The sequence below is a fragment of the Homo sapiens genome, chromosome 4 (assembly GCF_000001405.40).
Source record: "Homo sapiens chromosome 4, GRCh38.p14 Primary Assembly".
Taxonomy (NCBI): Eukaryota; Metazoa; Chordata; class Mammalia; order Primates; family Hominidae; genus Homo; species Homo sapiens.
This window is the reverse complement of record NC_000004.12, coordinates 121,356,007-121,382,445: the sequence shown is the minus strand read 5'-3', so window position 1 is coordinate 121,382,445 and position 26,439 is coordinate 121,356,007. Positions and strand designations below refer to the sequence as shown.

The following is a 26,439-nucleotide window of genomic DNA, read 5'->3' as shown; positions in this document are numbered from 1 at the left end:
ACTGAACACTAAAAGCTATCTATAAAAGAAAATATTGATAAATATGACTTCACTAAAACTAAAAGCTGTTCTGTGAAAGTCCCTGTTAAGAAGATAAATAACAAGCTACAGACTGGAAGAACATATTTGCAAACCGTTTACTAACAAAGGACTTGTATGTAGAATATAAAAAGAACTTTCAACAGCAAATAAACTAAACCATGCAATTAGAAACGGACAAAACACATGGAAAGACATTTCACCAAAGAAGATTCAAGGACGGCAAATAAGCACATGAGATGTTCAATATTACTTGCCATTAGGTAAATGTAAATTAAGGCCCTAAAGAGATATCACTACAGATCTATTAGAATAGCTTAAAAAAAAAAAGCAGCAAAACCAAATGCTGGCAAGGATGTGGAGAAACGTAACTTCTCATGCATTGATGGTAGAGATGGAGACTTGTACAGCCACTCTGAAAAGTAGTCAATCTCTTTAAAAATTAAATATACACATTACAGATTCAATAATCAAAACTTTTGGCATTTCCTATAGAAAGGAAAACTATGTTCACACAAAAACCTGTACATGATTCTTTATAGCAGCTTTATTTTTAATAGCTCAAAATGGTAATCAACCAAAATGTTCTACAAGAGGTGGATGGTTAAATAAACGGTGATACAGCCTCAGCAATAAAAAGAAACAGCCATTAATACATGCAACAACTTGGATGGATTTAAAGGGCATTAGGCTGAGCGAAGAAAATTCAATATCAAAAGGCAGCATATTGTATGATTTCCCTTACGTAATGTTCTGACAAAAGTTAAGAGAGAACATATTAGTGGTTGCCAGGAGTTAGAGATGGTGGAGGGAGGGGCTAGGTGTGAGTATAAAAAGCACCAGGGAGATTTTTGTGGTGATAGAAGAGTTTGTATCCTGACGGTTACGGGAATCTACACTTGAGATAAAAACATGCAAACACTGTACCTGTGTCAAATTCCTGGTTTTGTATTGTTCCGTAGTTAAATAAGATGTAATGAATGAAAGAAACTGGGTGAAGGGTGGGTACGCAGGATCTTTCTGTATTATCTTTGCCATTTCCCAAGTTCTATATTTTAACTATCTTAATTATTTTTCAATACAGAAAATAATTTAAAATAAGCCCTATTTGCCTTGGGTAGTTGTGGCTCCCATTATTACGCAAGAGGAGAAACTTGAAACTGTGGAACCCCCCAATACCCAGTTTCACATACAAGCATTACCTGACTGGGGCCATGCCCTGAGAAAGGCGCTGGGCGGCAGCAAGTTGGTGAGCCAGGGAAGTCTTCCCTCGCCCTGAGGGTGCGGGGAAGCGGCGTTGGCGCCACTGAAGCTGGGTGTGAGGGAGGCGTCACCGAGTTCAGCCCCACCCTCCACCGCTCCCCAAGCGGGTCCGGCGTCCGCATCGCATGGCCAGAAGGCGGGGAGCCAGAGGCGCCAGGACCCTCGCGTGGCGCTCCAGCACCCCAGACCGTGGCGGCGCCTCGCCTTAGGGAAGAGCAAGGGAAGAACTTTATTTGAACCGCGAACATTTTTTGGTCACTGAGATCGAGTCTCCCAGTGCTTTGGCTTCCCGCCTCTTTATCGTGGGTTTGATCCCTGAGCTGCTCTCCTTTCCCGAACCTCCCGGGGTGCAGCCTAGAGCCCTCCCGCGCGGCTGACTCCAGAGTAGAGGAAGGGAGGCGGCCTCCGGCTGGTCCCCCGAAGCCCTCGCTGCCCCGCAGATGCGGATGGCCAGCCAGTAGCGGGCGGTGGCCCCGCGTCCCGGGAGCGCACAGCAATGCAGGCGCTTAACATTACCCCGGAGCAGTTCTCTCGGCTGCTGCGGGACCACAACCTGACGCGGGAGCAGTTCATCGCTCTGTACCGGCTGCGACCGCTCGTCTACACCCCAGAGCTGCCGGGACGCGCCAAGCTGGCCCTCGTGCTCACCGGCGTGCTCATCTTCGCCCTGGCGCTCTTTGGCAATGCTCTGGTGTTCTACGTGGTGACCCGCAGCAAGGCCATGCGCACCGTCACCAACATCTTTATCTGCTCCTTGGCGCTCAGTGACCTGCTCATCACCTTCTTCTGCATTCCCGTCACCATGCTCCAGAACATTTCCGACAACTGGCTGGGGGGTAAGAGTCGCGCCCCGCTCCTTCGCTCCTTCTCTCTTAACCCTCTGCCTTTCAGGGGATCTCTCTCTCTCTCTCTCTCTCTCTCTCTCTCTCTCTCTCTCTCTCTCTCTCTCTCTCTCTCCTCTCTCGTCTGTCTGTCTCTCTCTCGTCTGTCTCTTCCTTACACTTCTCTGTCAAATGAATCCGGTGCTCTTTCTTAGAACTTCGCCACCTGTGTTCACCTGGACATAAGTTCTTTTGGCCGCCTCTGATTCCCCTCCAGTGCTTCCTCCTTGTGGCTTAGAGACATAGGTTGGGGAAAAGCTTCGGAAAGGTCCCGAGCAGTGAGGCAGGAAGTCGCACCCCTCGCCACTTATTTCAGCTCCCTTTCCCGTCATTACCAGGTTTTTCTCCCCTAGTTTTCTTACTAAAAGTGAGATAAAAATATTTCAAATAATTAAACCAAAGTTAAAAATCTCATTTCCTCATTCCCCCACCCTCCAGCCTCACTTCCCAGTTGCTTGCAGACAGCTTCTTGTACCTATGAGCATAAAACAAATATAATTCATGTGCAGAAAAAATATATTGAACTAGTCCTTTTAAAAACTGTATTAAGTGTCATGCAGGAAGAAGGAACACAGAAAACTGATGCCCTCCTATTATAAAAGAAGAGATAACATTCTCCTCCTTCCGTATAATGGGGGAAAAAAAATGACAGAGGAGAGGTGGAGTCACTGAGTTGGGAGCAGTGTGTGGAGGTTGGAAAAAAAGATATATTTCTTGAGATGATCCAGCTTTTCCAAGAACACAGCTGGAGAATGCCCTGGTGTAAACCCAGGAGCAGTAGTGTGTTGTATTCTCACCAGTGCTTAAGGTGCACCATGGGCCTCCCCTTTTTCACGGTTGGGTGTATTCTTGTGGCCACATCAAAATGGTTAGAAATGTAAGAGAAATAGATCATTATGCCTTCAATCTCTGCTATTTCTATCCCATTACTAATTCTCTTAAACTCATGGAGGGTGTTTCATCCTACCATTACCAATTTGAGATCGTGAGCATTGCTTTTTTTCTCATTAGCTTAAACTGAGTTTGCTGTTAGTCAGTCAGAATGTTAAAGTCCTTGATTCTTATCAATCTATAATGTAAATATTTTCAAAAAAGCATTAAACATTGAGTACAGAGCATTGACTTGAAAGTAATACACAATGTGGAAAGTAAGACCTTGATTTATGGATTAGAGACTTTCTTATGCACTCTGATGCAGTAATTGTATTTGGGCATTTTAAAGTTGCTCAGTGCAACTAACTCCATAAAATTAATGGGGTATTTTTTGATCATCATACGGAACTTGGTTTTTGGGGAAAAGCACATGAGTTTTCATTTCTAAATGTTTGTGAAAGCAGATTTATGAGGCTTCTTTGTGCTGGGGATGATTATAGCTCCATTTGTAAAGGTGAAAATAATTATGCAAAGTGGGATTTTATGGTGGGGATCAAAAGAACTGGATTACTATTTTGGCTGTAATACATGTTAATTTAGTATGTCTGGGTCTCAATTTTTCAGTAAAATATTAGGGATTAGAGAAGTTTGAAAGTGCAGTGAGTCTGGCCAGGCGTGGTGGCTCACGCCTGTAATCCCAACACTTTGGGAGGCCGAGGCGGGCGGATCACGAGGTCATGAGATCGAGACCATTCTGGCTAACACGGTGAAACCCCGTCTCTACTAAAAATACAAACAACAACAAAAAATTAGCCGGGCATCGTGGCACGCACCTATAGTCCCAGCTGCTCAGGAGGTTGAGGCAGGAGACTTGGCTTGACCCCGGGAGGCAGAGGTTGTAGTGAGCCGAGATCACGCTACTGCACTCCAACCTGGGTGACAGAGCAAGACTCCGTCTCAAAAAAAAAAAAAAAAAAAAAAAGTGCAGTGAGCCAGATCTTTAGCTCCAGTTCATGTTGGGGAATCATGGCCAAGAAAGGCCATATGGTGCATCTTCCATCCTCAGGGCTTATTTGGGCACTGCCAAGGTTTTTCTCAAGTTTTCTTTTCTCCCTGCTTCTTACTTCATGGAGAACATTTCACTTTAGCTTCTAAATACTGAAGGAGAGTAATATATTGCTCATTTATTTTATAGGGTTAGTGTGAGAATAAAGTGTGTTAGTAAAAGTGCTTTGAAAAATATTGGTCATGCCATGAAAGTATAAGGTATTAATTCTATTAAGGGGTGTTTAATTGGAGGTGGCCTATGTTTATCTGGGACCAGATTTATAGAATAAATAATGATCTTATAAATTGAGTAAATAATACCAAAATTGAAGTGCGAGGGAGAGGTGAGAGCATGCAGAGGGGCTAGAGATCAATATGAAAATAGAATTAACTTGCGCATTATAGGACAGGATAATCATGGCAAAATTTCCTTGATAAATTAACCAAAGTTCAAGAGAATGTAATCTAAGAGCCAAAAATTAATTCATAATTTATTATTTTACAAAGCTATTGAGGATCTCCTATCTGGAAAAGTGTTCTACCTTGAGAGTACAAAAGTGAGTAAAGTCTATCTGTGCCCTTCAGGACCTCAGAGAATAGGAGATGGCCCCAAAATGAGCAAAAACAGGATTTGATAGAAAAAGGATCCACTTTGCTCTACGAGCACAGAAGAGTCAGGAAGGCTTCCTGAAGGATGTGATGTTCAAGCTGGGTCTGGAAGAATAATTCAGAGAATAATTTAGACTCTTTCCAGCAGAGGATGGAGTGTGTTCTAGGAATAGGGGTCAGTGCCAAGTTGGAGGGAAGAAAGAAGATGGTGTGTTCCAAGAATACCGTGCAAGGCATTGCAAGAATGCACAGGTTATATGTGGGGAATGGCAGGAAATGAGACAGAAAAGTAGTGCAACTGGGGAGGAAAAAAAAAAAAATATATATATATATAGTTATGTAAAAACCTAAAATATGAATACCCCTCAAATTCCTTCAGGGGTGAGGTAGGAAACACAAACAAAGCAATGAAGATCACCAGGAAGCAACGGCGACAAAAGGAAGACTGTCTCCTCTAAAGGGGGCAGGATTGCAGCATGCTGGAGTGGTGCCCAGGATTGTCACATCTTCTTTTGTTGTTGTTCTTGCTTCCCCACCTCTCCTTCTGAAAAGCTGGGAATACAGATTTTTATGATGCTGACTTCTAAGTCAAATACAAAAAGTAAAATGCAATCAGGTAAAAGAAAACATCTCTATGGCTTGGTCAGAAATAATTCATGGACTTCCAGTTTGTCACATCTCTACATTGCCTGTCTCTCAAATATTTCTGACAATGCTAAGACTGTGAATGACTGTTTTATTCTTCTTTCAGTCCATTCCTCTTTCTTGCTGGGGACCAGCAGCACCTATTGAGTCAAAACCTGCTTTTTAACAAGGTTCTCAATTGTTTCACGTGCACATTAAAGTTTGATAAGCACTAGAGAAGTCAGCTCAGGTCTTTATAAGGAAAAAAAAAAGTTTGTTAAGTACTACTTGAAGTAGTAATGGCTCTTAGACCTGGCTACACAGAGAATCTCCTGAAGGGCTTTTGAAAATGGCCTGCGCCAGCCCCAGCCCAAACCAGTTACACTTGTCTCTTTGGAGCCAGCCACACTGCCTTACAGAGCCCAGTGTGCACAACTCTACTCAGGTCCCCTTTCAGGGACATCATGTTGTTATCTTAAAACTGGTTGTGGTGGGAGTATTCACATCATGGAAATCAGCACTTACTAGTTAGGCCTGTTTTTTAAAAAAGTGAAAAAAAAAAAAAACAAACCCAGAAATCAAACAGTTGCTTTCCCAGCACACCACTGAGCAAAGACATTGAGTTTTCTTTTGTACACTGCTGGGACCATGAATAATAGGTGAGGCAAAGTGTAGCCACAAACATGTTTTTACATGAATTACACTAAAGTTGGAAAGAGATACAGCTGATCCACAGCATCTAAGTGTGCCCAGCATGGAGGCAAGCTGACATTCAATTCCTTTCATCCACCTTACCATCATTGCCTTATTGGCTTACCTTTGATCTACCAGTTGACTCACTCTCTACTCCCCAGGACTCCTTCCAACATGGAGCTAGCAGAAGTGGCGATTCTCTGCACCCAAATATTATAAATGGCACATGTTTATGAGTTTTTTGTTACTCATATGAGGGTGGAGTTGCTCTGCCATGGCCCTTTCCTTTAGGAAAGTTTTGTCTCTGTTCTCTTCTCTGATTTACTGGGCTAGACTGCAGAAGTGGATTTGTCCATTGCCTCCTTAGGGCCACCAAATTTACCTGTCCTTATCTGCAGCCTGTTCCTCCTCATTTTGTTTTGTTTTTTCCTCCTTTTTATCTTTTTCTTCACAATGTCCAAATGCTCCTCCAAATTCACTCACTGAACATGTTCTGTTTCTTCCAGCTAAATACAGAACTGATTTTGCTTGTGACCAGTGCTGCAGAACACCACTCTCTTCTCTAAGTTTCCATGAACTAGTCTTTTTTTGCCTCTTTGTTTCCTTTATGTCCCTATCTCTGTATTTTCTGCCTTTTGAGAGTTCTCAATCTTTCTCTTATTTTGCGAGTAAGTGTCCACTGAAGCTTAGCATGCAACCTCTTTTCTTTCATCATCAATTTCTGCATAGAGGCTATAGTCATGACTCTCACTTCTTTGCTGATGGTTCTGAAATAGTATCTAATCAATATCATAAGCCATGGTCTTTCACCTGATCTGAAGACTTGGCACTTACACATGAATATATTACCAGCATCTCTCATTCTCTCATGGTATCTTGTTCCTCTGCCCAAAGTCTAAAGTATTATTAATGGCACTATGAGTCATTCCTGTATTCAGCATTTCTTGGGTATTTCCTGTGTGCACTGGGATATTGCAGGTATTGAGAAAGCTGTGTTTCTGTGGAAAAGCCAAGTTTCCATTAGACTAAGAAGGGGGAGGAAGCATTCAAAGAAGTAATGGAGAATGCAGGGCATTTTGTAGATGTCAGGGTTCCAGAGCACACAGTGCAAGTATTGAGGAGTAGGGAGCTTGAATCAGATTAGGGGATGTTCACAGTCTGATGGGTTTGAGTCCAAAGTTGAGGGATAGGCTGGGAGAGAATGGGACTCGTGGTAGCTGAGGTAAATGAAAACTTAAGGCATAGGAATGTTAATTCTGAACACTTCCCAGGAGGAGACAGAAAATCAGTTCTAATGCTAGCCTGCTTTATGACTCTAAGCATTAAGAAGATGAAATGGGGAGTGTTTGGGGTGTGCCTGGAGTAGTGGCCTTGCTAGGATCCTGCTGGGTTCTGTATCCACTTTCATCCTGCTGTGGATTCCGGCACAGCCAGAGGGAGGATGGTCTCCTCAGGTGCACACACAGCTCTGCAGCACTCCCCCAAATCCTGCCGTGGGCAGTGAAAAGAATTTTCTAGCAGTGGCTGGCAAATTGACTAAAAGCAATTCCAAAAAAAAGGAGTTTGAAATATATTCTAAGTAATGGCAGCATCGTTGGGGGAAGTACACATTCATGCACTTTTACTATCTTTGAAGAGTATTAGGGTAAGAAAACACAGAAAATTAATTTTCTCAGCAGCTGATATGAGAATTCCTCTTAGAGTGGTAATGCTCAATCTTGGCAACATGTAGTAAATCATCTGGGAGTTTTTTAAAACACAGATGCCTGGTTCCTACCCCTGGAGATTCTGATTTAATTGGTCTGATTATAATTGGTATGGAGTTTTCAAAAGTTCCCAAAGTTAGAAAAGTTATAATTTGCAGCCAAAGTTGAAAGCCACTGATGTAGTGTAAATGCTGACAGCACCAGGAGTTCCCCAAGTTAGAAAAGTTATAATTTGCAGCCAAGATTTAAAATCATTGATGTAGTGTAAATGCTGACAGCTCCAGGACTCAGGCTGATATGAAGATTAAAAGAAATAATAGATGTAAACACTTTTTAAAAAAGTATAGTGCCTACCCCATGTACCAGCTCAATATAGCTATTATATATTTAAAAAATAGCAATGGCAGTCAGAATGCTTAGAAAATGCAAAAGTAGATTATATTAACTGGAGTCCAACAAGGAGCTCAGAGGCAATTCTTCCGTTTTCTGCAGCCTATTGCGTCTTTACTAAAGCCCTTAACGTTTTTAGAGTCTTTCAAGATGAATTTGGAAAGGATTCAAAAATGGTGAAAAGATTGGAATATAAGACATACAAAGAAATATAAGAAGAATTATTCTCTTGCCTGGAGAATAGAACTTTAGTTATAAATTAGCACACCTCACCACAAAGGTTTTTCAGTCTATTTTGCCCAGGGCCACAGCGGATGTGGGCGGGTAACAGAATGGTAGTAGGCGAAGCTCCAAGCTTCATTATAACAGCTCCTGTCTCTCTTTTTAAGAATTAGAATTTTGCATGACTTTATATGAAAAATGAAAGGATTTAACTGGAAGGAAAGGAGGGAGAGAAAGAAAGCACTCACTGTACACAACATGAAATGTTAGGGTGTGTTTTTAGAGATTGAGAGCTGATACATTGTGAAATGAATTAAAGGAGGTTGTTGAACTTCATTTAGTGAAAAGATCTTAATTTTGAGGGCCAATTCAGAACAGAGAGCTTAACCTGGAACTTCTTCGGTCCCATTTTATTATTCAATCAGTGACTAGAAAACATCAGTTACATGTGTTATATAATTTTTTTCTATGATATTTCAGAAATTTTAGAGTTCTTGGGGAAATTTACATATGGTAAGATTGGTGTAAAATCAACAGTATTGTGGGGCTTAAAAAGTCAACAGAAATGATAAAAGCTATTGATGAAGAATAGTCTTTTTAAAATAAGGAAGTATTAAAAAAGATGTAAATTAAACAGAGGTCCAACAGCAACAGTAGTTTGGAAATAAAGTCAGGAATTATGCTGTGGACAGCCTCTGGTTGATCTTTCCTAGAATCAATTACGTGCACACTTTGAGAAGAAAAGATGCTGTAGGTCACTAAATTTTTTTGGTAGGTGAGAGAGTGGCAGTAACAGCAACAGCATTTATGTAAAAGATTCTCTCTACTTAGGACAAGAACAGTTTACATTTAAAATAATGACAAGGATTTAGCAGTAAGAAAGTTTTAAATATTTCACTGTGCACTTAGGAGGCATAAAATGAATTCCCTTTTAGTTTGCTTTTCTAAAACATAACTATTCTTTGATAAGTTGTTGATTTATTAGGATTCTTGTTTGTGGGAAGAGAAGCCCAACTTAAATTACCTTAAGAAAAAAAAGGGAATATTCTACCTCTGCAACTGAAAAGGTCAGAGTTAGGGCTGGTTTTAGGCATAACTGGATTAAGGTCTTCAACAGTGATCATCCTCCCCCTCGGCGGCCAGCTCCACTTCCCTCTGTGTTGTGGTTTCATTCTAGAGCTGTCTTTTGCCCAAGTGTGAAAGATGACCCCAGGAGCTATAAGCTTACATTTTCTTTAAAACTCCCTGTCTCAAACCAAGTGTCCATCGATGGACAAATGGATATACAAAATATGCTGTGTATACACACAGTGGAATATCACTCAGGCATGAAAGGGAATGAAGTTCTGATACTTACTACAACATGGATGAACTTTGAAAGCATTATGCTCAGTTAAATAAGCCAGACACAAGAGGACAAATGTTGTGTGATTCTACTTACATGAACTATTTAGAATAAGCAAAGTCATAGAGACAGAAAAGGTACTAATGTTACCAGGGGCTATGGGGAGGGCAGAGTGGGGAGTTATTGCTTAATGCTTAGATTTCTGTTTGGGGTTATGAAAAAGTTTTTGAAACAGATAGTGGTGTTCATTGCACGACACTGTGAATGTGATTAATGCCACTGAATCATACACTTAAAAATGGCTAAAATCATAAATTTTATGTTAGATATATTCTACCACAATAAAAAATTCTAGAACAAAAAATAAAACTTTTTATCTCAGGAAATGAGAGAGAATACTTCCCGGTAGTTGCAGAAAATTCTGGAAGGATTCTAGCCAGTTTGGCCTTGCTGTCTTACCCATAGAACTAATCACGCACCTCAGGGAGCGCCATCGTCACTCCTATTCAAACACCCAGAGATACCCCCTACAGCAGGAAGAAAAGCCTATTGAGGAGCCACTGTGAGGCAGTTTCTTATCCCTGTCTTGTGGGAGACTGACCTTCTCTTATCTATCTCCCGTTTGGTTTCCGTTGAGTGTAAGACTTCCCTCCTTTCTCCCCACCTTGCTCCCACTTAAGGTTCAGCTACAGTCTTTTGTGTAAGTCTGTACAATTTCTTGGCCGTGGTTTAAGGGTTGCTCCTCCCCAGCAGGGCAACCCATTGCCCATACTGTCAGTCATCTTGCTCTTCAAGGCTCAGTGTCTTCCTGTGTTGATCTTGCCTTTGGCATCTGTGCAAGTAATAAACTTCCTGAATCCATTGATGCTCATTGTCTCCTTACTAACTGAATCAATGGAAGTGTGACAAGCTAACAACTGTAGTAGTGACACTTGGGACCCTGTTAGCCACTAAGCCCCTTGGAAAGGCTTGACTGCTTAGCATGAAGTTCTTCCATAGGAAGGTACTCAGGGTAGATATGTTTAGCAGAGTTGGCCATTTATGTCTAGTGGAGTGAGTCAACTTACAGGGACTAAAGCTCCCCGATCATATGTCTTCCCATAAGGCCAAGCCCTGCACTAGGTTTCTCAGGACCAAGCTGAACCAGAGTTCTGAGTGGCTCTTCCTTGTCTGCCTTTCCTGGTCTGGGATGGAGTGCTGGGATCTCCCTCTGCTGCTCCCATCTCATTTATTGATATATACTCCCCAGTGGACCAACTTCCAGGCTGCCAATTCCTTCTAGTAGTGGACATATGCCTTCTCCCTCTGCTAAGGAATTATTGAAAGGTCAGTGAACGGGGTTCTAGAAGTTGATATTGGCAGTTCCCTCTCAGTCTGTGCCTTTAAGAAAAATTCAGCAGAAGCTATACTATTTGTTTCATTTTATGCCTTAAAACTAAAGATTCTTAAGGATGAATTCCGAAGTAATTAAGTAAGTGCTTATTGTTTTTATCTGTCTTTGCAAAACTAAATTAGTCCTACCTGTAGCTTGGTTTTGGAGAAACACATTTACTGTCATATCAGAGAGATTGTAGGCTATTCAGGGTAATAGAAATCTTAAAAGACAGCATGTTCCTACATCCTGGGAGAAATAGAAGGATAGAGAAACAGTTAGATGCTGTGAAAACAAACATGGATTGTGGAATCAAACAATATTGGGTTCTAATCCTGTTCCATCCTTTATTAGTGTTTGTATTAACTAGATTATAAGTTACATGGCCTGGCATTAAAGCTTCCCCTATTAGAAGACCAAGGAGAGAAGTTATAAAATAATGTTTGATGCTGCCCCCCAGTGGTTGATGTGGTGGCAGAAAATATGACAAAGATACAGGTTTTAGATCAAGCTTTATTTTCACAAAAATATTAATGCATATAATGCATATCTAGTTCTTCTTACTTCCCATTTGATTTCTCTATGAAGCATATAGTATTTACATATTTTCATTTATGCAATCTCATTTTAAAGTCCCCTTTAATACATGTATGAAAATATGTTAACGTTTTAAAAAAATTTCCTGTGGGATTGAGATGCATTTAAAATCTGTAAACGTCGGGTAGTGTTGCCTAGTGAGTCCTGGAGACCTTTGAAGTCACTGCCACTCTCACCATGGCTTGGGTCCAGATGCGCCACAGCCTCTTGGGGATGTAGGCCCTTGGAATCTTTTTAGTGCCGGACTCCCGGCCACAGGCAGTCCCGCGGCAGCAGGATAGCAGAACCTCTGGATGGACTCTTCCTGGGAAGTTTTGCTAATTTGCAGCAGCTGGACCATGTTCCTCATTAACATCCATCTGTCAGCTTAGTCGTCACATCATTTCACCGTGGTGGCAGGGATTCTATATAGAAAAAACACCTGGATCTCAGCCTTTCAATGGCTTCAAGACAACCAGAAGTGCCTGCTCTTGAGGCTAGTGGGCCTCTAGGCAAGATGTCCCTGCCCTTCAGGATATACCGCCGGGCACTCAGCTATGATGATACCCTCAAGGACCCTGCACCCATGACTCCTCCTCCATCAGACATGGGCAGCATCCCTTGGAAGCCAGTGATTTCAGAGCACAAGTATCAGCACCTCACCAAGGTGGAGGAAGGAGAGGCCAGTCTACCCTCCCCTGCCAGTCCCTGTCATCGGCCATTGACAGTGTGGACAAGCTCCCAGTGGTGAAGGCTAAAGCTACCCATGTCGTCATGAATTATGTGATCACAAAACAGACCCAGGAAAGCTTTCAGCATTTTGGGCAACAGGCAGGGCTGAGAGATCCTGGCTACACACCCACAAGGGTGTCACCACTCAGAAGACCAAGTACCTTAGAGTAGCAGAAGCACTCCACAAACTAAAGCTGCAGAGTGGAGAGATAACAAAAGAAGAGAGGCCACCTGCATCAGCCCTGTCCACCCCAAGCACCACTTCTCACTTTTCACCTAAGCAGAGACCCAGGGGCTGGTTCACTTCTGGTTCTTCCACAGCCTTACCTGGCCCAAATCCTAGCACCATGGACTCTGGAAGTGGGGATAAGGACAGAAACTTGTCAGATAAGTGGGGCCTCTTTGGACTGAGATCCCTTCAGAAGTATGATTCTGGAAGTTTTGCCACCCAGGCCTACCGAGGAGCCCAGAAGCCCTCTCCAATGGAACTGATCCGTGCCCAGGCCAACCGAATGGCTGAAGATCCAGCAGCCTTGAAGCCACCCAAGATGGACTTCCCAGTGACGGAAGGGAGGAAACAGCCACCACGGGCACATAATCTCAAACCCCGTGACTTGAATGTGCTCACACCCACTGGCTTCTAGAGCCCTTTCTTTCCAGGGATTCTGGTAAAGAAGGTTTCTTGCACTCCACTGCCCTTTTATCTTGGCTTTGACATAGGAAAGGTATATTTAAAAACTTAATCAGCTGGGCACAGTGGCTCACGCCTGTAATCCCAACACTTTGGGAGGCCAAGTTAGGTGGATCACCTGAGGTCAGGAGTTAAAGACCAGCCTGGCCAACACAATGAAACCCTGTCTCTACTAAAAATACAAAAATTAGCCGGGCATGGTGGTGGGTGCCTATAGTCCCAGCTACTTGGGAGGCTGAGGCAGGAGAATTGCCTGAACCCAAGAGGCAGAGGTTGCAGTGAGCCGAGATCACGCCATTACACTCCAGCCTGGGCGACAGAGTGAGACTCCGTCTCTAAATAAATAAATAAATAAAGTAAAAAACCTGTTAAATTGAGGCTAGAGCTGGAGATACAATTGGTTTTTGAGAAATATTGATACAAAGCTTGCCCCTGTTGTGTGGAAGAAGCCATTTTGTACTGCTTTAAAGTTAGACTAAATATTCTCAGCAGTGGTGTATGGGGACCTCATTACCTATTTTTTCATCATTTACCCTAGGTAAGAACTTCAATCACTGCTTACTAGGTAAAGAATGTTTGTGCTGTTCCAAAACCCAGGCTTCTTGATTCCTTACCACTATCCATGTGAGCATTGACAAATCATGGCGTAGAGGTGCTCACTGACTGGCTGAGACGACTCTGGCCCTGTTGATGGCTGGTGCTGTGCTCCAGCCTTATCAGTAAGGGGACCCAAGATTTGTTTGGGACCTGGGTATAGGTAAAACCAGACTTGGCAGGGACCCCTGTTTCTAGGCTGAACCTTGAGTCCCCCTGCTTTTTGGTAGACCTAATGGATCACTGTCCTGCAACCAGTTCTTCATGTGGGGCCTCTTAGGCCAGTGCCAGGGGAGGCATGCTTCTCTTTCTATGCCACAGAACAAACACTAGTCTAGCAGAGCCTTTCTTGCACTTTAAAGTGAGATTAATTTAGCTGCAATTTGGTTAAAAGCTTCCTAAGAGAGAAAATTCAGTCTACTGACTTGGTATAGGTAAATGGACTTAAACTTTTTTAAAGTAAAGGAGATGGTAGGTACAGTTAGATTATAGTCTTGAGGTTTATGTGGAGCCAGTGGTGTTACCTTATTTTGATTTCCTTGTTCAGGTCAGGGCCTGGAACGTCTGTGGGAGGAGGAGAATGAATTCAAAATTTTCTGTATGAAAGCATTTTTCACCAAAATGAGCCTCATCCCTTTATGCAATACATAACCTTACTGAGGGAGGGAAATAGGGAAACCACTTTTTTATTTCTCCTCACTGTGTACAAGTTCAGTTTTTGTCTTGAATACTGTCTCAAATACCCAATTTTTTGTTTTGGATAGTACCTTGTCTGTGTAAGAAGCTGGCCTTTCCATAGAGAGGCCCTGGAGTCTAAAATTATAAGAATTAATTTATTTGTGTCTTCTATTGTGATCTCTTGTTTTGACAATAAAAATCCTTACTACTTTCTCCAAAAAAAAAAAATCTGCAAATGTTGTAGGTTGGCAAAGATAATGTTTGACTGTGGTATTAATTTCTCTTTGCTTTGGTGTCCTAATATGTAAACTTAGGAAAACTTATTCCCACCTTACAGTGTTGCTGTGACAATGAATGACCCCAGGTGTCAAAAGGACCAGGCACCTAGAGGGTATCCAAAGAAAGGAAACTATAATTGTTGTTCACATATTCGAAGTTCTGCTACTTAAAGTGTTAGCTACATTTGTGTGTAGAATAATTTTAGAGACAATAAGGACATTAGAGAACTTTTTAAAAACTTGTTGCACTGTTAGTAATATCTCAAATATATTTGGTGTGTACTTTTACAAAGCAACTGTAAAAACCAGGTCCATTATAGTTTATTTATGATAAAATACAATGAAGTAGTTATTTCACATAAATACAATTTACATGAAAAGAATTACTTTTATGCTCAAACTATGAGGATTCAAACTAATCATTTGTACTCAGAAAACAGAAAAGGGTGCTGCTTTCATTTATTTCAGAAGCAATAATACATCTCTAGAGGAGGATAAAGTGGTGTTAAAAAAAATTTGTTGGGACTGAAGCTGATTTTGTAGTTCCTTTCAAGGCTCATGTGTCTTTCCAGGCCACCCAGACTGTGGGCACAATGTTGCAACACCAATGTTCCTAGGAAGCGGTCCCACTGTCCCCTGCCTCTGTCTCGTAATTTAAGACAACTTTTCTCAACCCCTGTGTGCCTGACTCCCTATCCCACCCCAGCGGAACCTCCCTTGATAATGGACATGTGCAGCCAGTTATCTTGTTGACATTCTTGCTGTTTAGTTCATAGCCTAAAGAGGTACATGACGGCACCTCAATTTGGACACCAGGGTGAGAGTGACCGTGAAACAATGATGTCAGGTGTATGAATATTGTCCTTTGACTTTCCTGTGATGCTGGTGCAGACTTGCTGAGATCTGGGCAATCCTGGGCACTAGAGCCTTGCTATGCACTGCAGAGAAGTGGAAATAATAATATGAAAATGGATACCAAAGTCTTAACATAGAGCTTACTATGTGCCAAATATAATATTATCCTCATTTTACAGATGAGAAAATGGAGGCTCAGAGAGGTGTTAGTGTATTAATTAGCTATTCTGCACAGCAAATCACAAAAAATTTAGGTGATTAAAGAATCATTCATGATTCTACAGGTCAGCAATTTCAGGTTGGCTCATCTGGATGGTTCTTCTGCTAGTCTCACTTTGTTCACTCTCAGTGCTACATCTATCTGGTGACCTCATAGGGGCTCATTGTTTTAACTGGTGACCTCAGCAAGGGCCAGGCCATCCCTGTCCCACATGGTTTCCTCTTTCGGTTGGATACCCAGAATTCTTTGTGTGGAGGCACCATATTCTGAAAGAGAGAGAGAGAATAGAAGCACCAGAATCTTTCAAGACCTAGGATTGAATGTCACACAAATGTTACTTCTGTGATAAAGCAAGTCACATCACTGGCCCAGATTCAAAGAATAGGGAAACAGATTCCTCCACTTGATGTGACAAGTGGCAAAATCATGTTTTAGAGAGCTCACAGAAAGTAATGGAATTTGTAGCCTTTAAAAAAAAATCTTAATTTTTTATAGTAAGTAAAATGCCCAAGCTCATATAGACTGGAAATACTGGTGCCAGGCTTTGACCCAACCAGTCTGCTTCAGTGTTGGGTTTTTAACCACACTGGTTATACTGACGGGGAAGAATTTCACTTTCTGCAGTGAATTATGCTTCACCACCTGCTTTGGCCCTGTTTGTGCAGGGGTGCCTTCAGCAGTTCCACCCCTCGAACTCAGGTACTAGTTTGAGACCTGGAAGACAAATTTTTGTAGTGAAAGTCTGCCATGATCTTTTCCTCATAGATCTTTGTGAAAATTGACTCTTGCACACTGACTATAAGTAACCCAGCCCGCAAGTCTACTAATGCAGAGGCCCCTAATATATATACATATTCATAGAAGTCTGTATTGGCTCAAGTGTAAAAGTAACCATGAAGCTATTCTACAGATAAAACTACATGCTTGGTTTTAAAAAAATTCTTTACTGTAATGTCTACAAACAATAAAGGATTTATTCTTATTACGATGAATTTTACTGGATCAAAATCTAAGTGTCAATATGAACCTGATCCAAACAGTGATTTCTGGGAAAGAGATGACACTAGTTTTATATATATATATAATATATAAAATATATATAATATATAATATATAAAATATATATATAATATATAATATATATAATATATATATTATATATATATAATATATATAATATATATTATATATAATATATATTATATATTATATATAATATATATTATATATAATATATATAATATATATTATATATATTATATATATAATTTAATTAATTAATTAATTTATTTATTATTATTTTTGAGATGGAGTCTCGCTCTGTTGCCCAGGCTGGAGTGCGGTGGCGTGATCTCGGCTCACTAAAAGCTCTGCCTCCCAGGTTCACACCATTCTCCTGCCTCAGCCTCCCGAGTAGCTGGGACTACAGGCGCCTGCCACCATGCTTAGCCAATTTTTTTGTATTTTTAGCAGAGACGAGGTTTCACTGTGTTAGCCAGGATAGTCTCGATCTCCTGACCTCATGATCCGCCCACAGCTTTTTAGGAATCAGTTATATTCCTTTTTTGTGTTGTGTATAAGGATGAGATTGTATTTATCTTTTGTGAATATTGTAGTTTTGCAAGAAAAAAGATTCAACTTACTTAAAATAATTAGAATTATGGGAAGGCTATTTTGTAGCAATGATGAAGAGAGGGATCTCTTTTAAATTTAAAGACAGTAACTAGTAGGTCTCATGGAGACTTAAATGGAACCCCAAAAAACAGCTGTATGGAGCTCAGCATAAAGAATTCCTGAATCTCCAGGGCTGGGCCATGAATGTGACTCTACTTCTCTCCAGTAGTAAACAAAGACCTGCTTATTAAATCGAATTGCTTTTTACTGCTATGGTGGTTAATCTTTTGGTTTATTCTATGTTTTTACTATCTCATATCCTCTACCTTTCCCTTTACTCTTGTAGGCTGAATACATCCTAGTACTCCAGAAAGACCAGGCTAGGTACAGTGTCAAACTCAAAGAAATTTAGTCCAGTGACCAGCACTAACGTAAAATAATTTTAATCTTTAATTACATATTTCAAAAAGTTTTCTTTTTCTTTTTTCTTTTCTTTTTTTTTTTAAGATGGAGTCTCGCTCTGTGGCCCAGGCTGGAGTGCAGTGGCGCAATCTCGGCTCACAGCAAGCTCCGCCTCCCAGGTTCACACCATTCTCCTGCCTCAGCTTCCAGAGTAGCTGGGACTATAGGCACCCGCCACCATGCCTGGCTAATTTTGTTTTTGTATTTTTAGTAGAGACAGGGGTTCACCATGTTAGCTAAGATAGTCTCGATCTCCTGACCTTGTGATCCACCCGCCTCGGCCTCCCAAAGTGCTGGGATTACAGGCGTGAGCCACCATGCCCAGCCAAAAGTTTTTAGACATTTCAATTAACATGCCTTAGAACCCCTTTCTCTCATTCCATTCAAGTTTTTTCTGTTACATTCGGTAACATTCCACAAAACTCTTTCATGCTTTGCAAGGCTCATGCTTTGAAAGACATGCCCAATTGTAGAGTGTTTTTCCAGGCCACCCTGGACTGTAGGCATGATGTTACCACACCCGTATTCATACAGAGCCATCCTACTGATTCCTGCCCTTGTAACGCAGGACCTCAAGCTCCCTCAACCCTTTTGTGGCAAGTTCCCAGTCTGACCCCAGCTGAATGTTCCTTGACTTGATTATGACTTGATTATGAAAATGATAACTTCAGCCAGTTATCATTTAGACTTTCTCGCTGTCTGGTTGCTTTTCTCCACTCCAGTGCAGGCTTTTCTTTTTCCCTTCTTCACCATTCCCTTTATTTCTGTTCTGCCTCTCTCTCTTTCTCCTTCAATTCAGTCTTATTCATGCAACTATCCCATCCTGATATTCCCCACAATCTGGATAATTAAATGGCCAGTACAGGGAAATATTCAGCAAGGCTTTCTCTTAGTGAAAGAGTGAAGGGTGGAAGAGAGAAAGAAGCTAGGAAAACTCATACATTAATAAATTTTAGCCCTGTTATACTAACTTGTCTTCAGGTTTTCTACTTTCTCATAGTCCCTGTGGCCCCTCACTCTTACTCTTACCATATGGCTTTTCTATATATCCTTTTAAATTCATTTCCTAACTCTACCTTCATTGTATTTCCTTATTCTTTTTCCAAAGAGAAAGAAGGAACCTTGTTGGCCTAGATTTGGGGTCCAGTATGGTTCAATTGGAAAAGGGCTGGGGGAACCTAAAATAATTAGAATTATGGCAAGGCTATTTTGTAGCAATGATGGTTCATGTGATGCACATGAGACCTCTGCTTCAGCAGGGTTGGTAAGGAAGGGCAGTGCTTTAGGCCAGCATGATTGACATGTGAAGGGTTATATAGTTTTGGTTCCTTCTTTCTTTATTTATTTATTATGAGATGGAGGAAGTCTCACTCTGTTGCCCAGGCTGGAGTGCAATGGCGCGACCTCTGCTCACTGCAACCTCCATCTCCCAGGTTCAAGTGATTCTCCTGCCTCAGCCTCCTGAGTAGTTGTGATTACAGGTGTGCGCCACCACGCCCAACTAATTTTTTGTATCTTTAGTAGAGACGGGGTTTCACCATGTTGGCCAGGTTGGTCTTGAACATTGTGATCTGCCCACCTTGGCCTCCCAAAGGGCTGGGATTACAGGCATGAGCCACTCTGCCCGGCCTAGTTTTGGCTCCTTCTTTAAGAAATCTCTGGAGGATGCAAAATGTGCTAGGCTTGCATGGACTCCAGAGAGGTTAAATTGTTTCTTTTACATTTATCTATGAAAGCCTGAAGTTTTTGAAAGAACAGCTCTGCATGATATATTTACAAGTTTATTTCAATAACAATAATGGGTATTTCATGTCAGATAAGTATGGTTAGTTATCTAAATTGGATTTGCTTTTATCCTAGGCAGACTTCTTTTTAAGTGGTCTTTCTCGTAGTGTCTAGATTCTTTTATTTTTCCTGTGGAAGTCCAGTTGTTTCAGTGCCATTTGTTGAAAAGGCTATCTTTTCTCCATTTTCTTGTCTTGCTCCTTTGTCAAAGATTAGTTTATTATATTTATGTGATTGCTGAGCTCTCTATTCTATTCTATTGATCTATTCATCTGTTCTTTCCCCAATACCACACTATCTTGATTAACGTAGCTTTAAAATAAGTCTGAATTTGGGTAGTGTCAGCCTTCCAACTTTATTTTTCTTTTTCAATTTTGTGTTAGTTATTCCTGGTCTTTTGCCTCTCCATATAAACTTTAGAATCAGTTTGTTGATGTCCAGAAAATAACTTGCTGGGATTTTGCCTTTCTTACGTCAACATGCCAAAGAAAGACTTTATAGTGAAAGCAGCTGCATACATTGTCTCCTCTCCCCACTTTTTCCCCTCTTCCTGGATAAAGGTACATAGAAAAAAAAATGCTTTTAAAAAAGAAAGAGAACTAAAAGAAAACCAGCCATATTGTTCTATTATGGTCAGAAAATCTTGATTTACAGATGTTACTGACAGATGGGAAGCTGACTCTGTGAGAATGGGATTTCCTTATCTTTCATTAAAAAACCTTAAGAAAATCTCTAACAAAAATCATTAGGTGAGAGGCTGATGAGCCAGAATTATATACTGAGCTGTGTGGGCTCTGCATGGCTTTCACACATCTTTCAACATGTTTTAGCTCTGGGTAGCAGCAATATAGAATATTGCAGACAATTGCAGTTATTGTTTTTAAAAAGTTCCTTATATGGAGGTAAATAAAAAGTGGTTGCTTCACTGGCAACTGGAAGATATCTTATTTTAGAATAAATAGTACTGGTTCTTTGTAATTTGAAAAGGGAACAGGAGCAGTGTTGGGAGTGGGCAAAGGAAGGAAGAGGCCGTTCCTTTTATTAAATTGTTTTGCTTCCAGCACTACATGTCATTAGGTCAAGTTGTCATACTACAAACTTGCGGCCTAGTTACCTCGTGAAAAAAATATTTTAGTCTGGGAAATATTGTTCCTTAGGAGCAACAGGAATTCTTCAATCTATTGTGAACTTTTCGTGCTGTTTAAAGCCTGGTCCATGGACACGCAGCATCAGCATCACCTGGAACTTTTTCAGAATCGTCTCAGGCCTCATCACATACCTACTGAATCAAAATCTGCATTTTAACAAAATTCCCTAAGTGGTCCATATGTTCAATAAAGTTTGAGACCTAGTGGCCTAAAATATATCATTGCTGTGTTCCACTTTTGCTTCTGAGGAACACGGGATAGATTATTTTGGCCAGTAGTGGTAGGCCACCACTGAGCACTTTTTATTAGCAAATAGACCATGGCTGCGTATCTCTCTCTGATTATCTATAATATCATAGAAGTAGTTGCTACAGTAATCAGGACTCTATGCTAGTAAAGCTTAACTTCCACATCATCATTATACCAAGGAGGGTGCAGAATGTAATACACTATCACTTTTACTTGTCTGCTTTATCTATTGAAGACTGGATCCATCTGATTCAAATTGAATGAGTGAAATTTTCCTCAAAGTAAATATGGTCTTTGTGAAACTATTTATCCTGGTTTCCAGAAATTACAAATTTCTCTAATTATAATTAGGGAAATTGAGTGCTTTTTCTCGTTTCTGTAGCGTGTGGCTGGATTTTCAGAGTTAAATCTGTGAGATATTATTGTAACAGTACATTCTTCTGAATAGATTTTCATAGCATTTTTGTCATTTGTTCATTTCCTCATTCACTTGCTCATTTAACTAACATTTATTAAATGCCTAACACATGCTAGGCACTATGTTGAACTAGGGATGCAAGGGCGAACAGCACACAGTGTATGTTGTGGAAGGTGCTTGGGGAGAGACAACAAGCTTTTTGGAAAATGTGAATAGTTCTGTATGCCTGGAGTTTGGCATTCAGAGGGGATGTGGTGAGAAATGAAGTTGGAAAGAAAGGGAAGATGCAGATTCTGAAGAACTTTCTAGTGCTGTGTTAAGGAGTTTGAGCTTCATTTTGCAGCAGAGGCAACACTACTGAGGCAGTGAATTTCAAAGTAAGAGTTGCAACCCATGAATGAGTCATGAAGTCATTTGGTGAGTCAATATTAGCAGTTTTACAAAATGGAAATACAGTGGAATAGAAAATATCAAAGAGCATTACTGTAGTAAAAATTTTGGATACGTGTGTGTGTGAGATGATCATGGTCAAAACCACTACTATCAGGGGAGTCAGGCTACCCAGGGGAACCAGGCAAGCACAGTTGACCTAAAAAAAAATTAAACCCATCAGAACTCAGCAGTATCATAATCCTGGTCCATCGAAGTGATAATGCTTTGTTCTAGCCAGCTCTCAGAATTGGGATACTAAACTGGAAGAATCGGTGTTTGCAATTTATAAGGAACACAACTAAATGAAAAAATGATTTACCTGTGGTTAGCTTCTAAGAAAGTACTAAGTTTTTATCCATCTTGTAATGTCTGTATGTAGGTGAGCCTATGACAAAGGCAAACCATTTTACATTAGATTACACTGAAAGGTGTAAGTGGTGACAGAGCAGAATCACTATCATCTTATATATGATTTCTGCCTAGGGCTACATAGCTCTCTGACTGTTTTTGTTACTGTAGTAAACACAGTTACTGAAAGCAAATTTGTCGTGTACTCATTGTACACAATAAATTTTAATTTTGGACTGTGTTATGTGCAGAGATTACTAACTCATAATAGAGGAACTCTGTTGCTCAAAAAATGTTTGAGAAATGTTACCCCAATAAGATCTGAAAAAAATAATAGTGTTTAGAAAAACGAGGTGGGAAAGGAGCAGGGTCACATGCAAGTTACAGAGATGAGATATAGAAAAGAAGGAAAATGGTGATAATAAGCCGTATTAGTCAGGGTTCCCTAGAGGAACAGAACTAATAGGAGAGAGATATATATATACACACACACACATACACACACACATATACACACACACACTCCTATATATATATATACACTCCCATATATACACACAAATATATATATACACACACATATATACACACACACACATACACACATATATACACACATATATACACACACATATATATATATACACATATATATACACACACACACATATATATATGAGTTTACTAAGTATTAACTTACACAATCACAAGGTCTCACAATAGGCTGTCTGCAAGCTTGAGGAGCAAGGAGAGCCAGTCCGAGTCTCAAAACTGAAGGACTTGGAGTCTGATGTTCAAAGGCAGGAAGCTTCCAGCATGGGAGAAAGATGCAGGCTGGGAGACTGGGCCAGTCTCGCCTTTTCAAGTTTTTTCTGCCTGCTTTATATTCACTGGCAGCTGATTAGATTGTGCCCACCAGATTAAAGGTGGGTCTGCCTTTTCCAGTCCACTGACTCAAATGTTAATCCCTTTTGGCAACACCCTCACAAAGACACCCAGGGAGAGTACTTTGCATCCTTCAATCCAATCAAGTTGACAGTATTAACCATCACATCAGCTGTCTTCCAAACCTAAACATATGTATAGGTAGAGAATAGAGTTCTATTAATCTGGCAGGTAATGAAGCAATTTAAAAGAGGTCATATTGGTGCTTCCAAACCATTGAAACACCTTGAATACTTACTTCCTTTGTAAGGCCTATTCTCTACACTAATTGTGGAAAACCTGGGATTTGGGGGATGCATTTCCATAGTGGTTACAAACACAGACTCTGGAGCCAGACTATTTGTCTTCATCCCTTACTGGATATACACATGACCCTGGACAAGTTACTTTATTCCTCATTTATCCCTCATACAAGCAGAAATAATAATATCACCTATCTTTTAGTGTTGTCAAGACAGTCTATGAGTTGATGGTGTTAATGCTTATTAGATCAGTACCTAGCACATGGTAACTGCTCAAGAAATGTTCCTACAGTGGAAATTAGTTTTATAACTTAGAACATTGTGATCAGTGTGGCTCAGCCATGATCAAGGACATTTCTGGCAAGCTTATGTCATAAATAAGGACAAAAGAAGAGATAGAGCAGGAAAGAGTAAAGAGGCAATTTCATGCTGTTGCAAAACACCACAAGTTTATGAGAGCAGTGCAGGGAAAGAGATGAAAGATGAGTCATCTATAAAACACAAACTTCCCTTCCCCCAACTATTCTGTTAAGAATAAAGAAAATGATTCAGAAACAAAGAAATAATAGAAGAGAAAACAAAACAAAAATTAATAAATAAAATATGTATGGAAGTTGGAATTCTTTTCAGTTATCATTTATTTGAACATTATCAGATAGCCAATGGTATGCTTGTGCTAGTTTGTACCAGCCCATGAGAGCTGATTGTGTACATCTCTTCTGAACTCCACATTCATTGATATTGTGTTGGTAGTTTTGAAATTGGCTCTGTCAGGAGTATTTACATCAGAAAAATTAGCTAACATTACAAAGCAAGGTCTTTTTAACTTGGAGAGCTGCTTGTTAACATTTACCAGTCTACCAGTGTAGGTATCTCTTATAATGTTGACAATAAGCAATAAACAACATTCTAGGTATTACCTGCTATTATTACTTTAAGGCATGGTTTTCTTTTGTCATCTCACAATCAACTTTAACCCAGATTTTTGCTTTTTTAAAAAGTATTTTGACTATATTCAAAAAGAATTGCTTTGAATACTACTTTGTAATTTTATGGTTATTTGTGAGATATTGTTTCATGTCTAGTCTCCTTCTAGGAAGAGGAGGTGGGAGAGTATATATGTTGCACAGCCTGTATTTAAAGAGCCTGGAGTAGTGTATGACCCATAGGTGAGTGAATGAACAAATATGTGAATGAAAGAGAAGATAGAATATAAAATAAATCTGAGTGAAAGACAAAGAATATCCTCTCCCCCTGAAGCCCCTTAACCTCTTCAGTTGGAAGCAGTGTTAGAAACGTAGACCTTGAAGTGAGGGCTCTCTCTCAAATCCATTCTCTGGCCTATTTGGTTCTTAAGCTTTGCTGCCTATTTAAATCACCTGGGAACTTTAAAAAGCTTAAGTCCCCAAGCATGCCCTAAAATTCACAATCTTTCAGAGTGGATCTAAATATCAATTTCTTTTAAAGCTCCCAGGTTATTCCAACATATAGCTAAGTCAAGAACCAGTGCTTTCTAGGACCTGGAATCTGGCGCTACGTCTTAGAATTCCCAGTGTAGGGGAAGGGAGTTGAATTGGGAGGGAATCTGAATATCTGCCTTTGAGCGACTGCTGAAAATGTAACTGGTAGTTACTGTTTGGATCAGCAGATAGGGAGTGGTCTGAATTCCTGGTTACGGCTTTAAATTTTTTTTTATTTTACCTTATCTCTGTTGCAGAAATATTCGACTGCCTTCTTTCTTTCTCTCCTTTCCACCCCCTACGTTCTTGACTATTCTTGCTTTCATGCTCTCTCTTAGGATCTCAGGTCCATGGCATTTAATTAATAATATGCTATCATTATCATATGGGCAATGATCCTCTCTTGTCTGCCAAGGAATGCAGACAACCTCTAGAAACTAGAAAAGGCAAGGAAATGAATTCTCCCCTAGAGCCTCTAGAAAGAACACAGCCCTGTTGACCCATTTCAAATTTCTGACCTCCATAATTGTAACATATAGATTAGTGTTGTTTTAAGTCACTAAGATTGTGGTACTTTGTTACAGCACCAGTAGGAAACTAATACAAACACCCTGTGCATTAGTATAGAGTAACTCTTTATTTAGGTTTTGTTTGATATTATTCTTTGCTAACGGAAACCTGGTATGATCAAGGTATTGTGTGGGCATATTCTTCAAGAAAGAATAGACCCCCTCTCAGCCCTAGTGGAGCCAAGCAGTAGGATTCAGAGACCCTGGACAAGACCCAGGACTATGCTGGCTTCAGGTGTGACCCAGCATAGTGCCAGCTATGGAGGCCATGAGAGTGCTTGCATCACTTCTCCCCTAGTTCCAGGCAGCCCATAATGGAGAATATCCTTCTGATTAGGGGAAAGAGAGAGAGAGGAGAGCTGGAGACTTTGTCTGGTAGCTCAGGGATTCTTCCTTATCTTACCCAAGTCCATCAGAGCAGTGTACCTAGGAGTCTGCAGTACTCTTAGGCTGCCCCCTAGTACTGATAAGACTGCAGTGACCACAGGCTTAGATCATGACACTCAATCTCTTTTGAATACGTGGAAAGCCCTTTCAAGAATGATAGGTACAAACAAGCCCAGACTGTGAAGACTGGAATAAATACTGAACTCTTCAATGCCCAGGATTGACAAATGTTCACAAACATCAAGAAAATATGACTTCACCAAATGAACTAAATAAGGCACCAGTGACCAGTCCTGGAGTGACAGAGATTTGTGACCTTTCAGACAGGGAATTCAAAATAACTGTTCTGAGGAAGCTCAAAGAAGCTCAAGATAACACAGAGAAGGAATTCAGAATTGTATCAGAGAAATTTAACAAAGAGATTGAAATAATTTTTTAAAAATTAAGCAACATTGGAACACCCAGATACATAAAACAAATGTTATTAGAGCTAAAGACAGAGATAGATAGACTGCAATACAGTAATAGCTGGGTACTTCAACACCTCACTTTCAACACTGGAGAGATCATCTAAACAGAAAATCAACCAAAAAAATGTCAGACTTGGTCTGCACTATAGATCAAGTGGATCTAATATATATTTACAGAACATTTCATTCAACAGCTGCAGCTACACATTCTTCTCTTCAGTA

General features: G+C 40.4%; 1 protein-coding gene and 1 pseudogene across 2 annotated transcripts in view, besides 1 other annotated feature; both read left to right on the top strand.

Annotated features, from left to right (window-relative positions):
• Window positions 858-1,642: an enhancer, noted in NCBI's record as "H3K4me1 hESC enhancer chr4:122301959-122302743 (GRCh37/hg19 assembly coordinates)". NCBI's record gives its function as "activates a minimal SCP1, AML or CMV promoter by ChIP-STARR-seq in naive H9 embryonic stem cells {active_cell/tissue: H9 hESC(naive)}" and the evidence as "EXISTENCE:reporter gene assay evidence [ECO:0000049][PMID:30033119]".
• QRFPR (pyroglutamylated RFamide peptide receptor) overlaps window positions 1,428-26,439 on the top strand; it is a 52,377-nt gene continuing 27,365 nt past the window's right edge. For both annotated transcript variants that reach the window (NM_198179.3, XM_017008693.3), the window contains exon 1: window positions 1,428-2,138. In NM_198179.3, the coding sequence (NP_937822.2) occupies window positions 1,799-2,138 (340 nt within the window). In that variant the 5' untranslated portion in view covers window positions 1,428-1,798. The remainder of the gene's footprint in view (window positions 2,139-26,439) is intronic.
• On the top strand, window positions 12,158-13,013 carry KIAA1191P1 (KIAA1191 pseudogene 1; annotated as a pseudogene).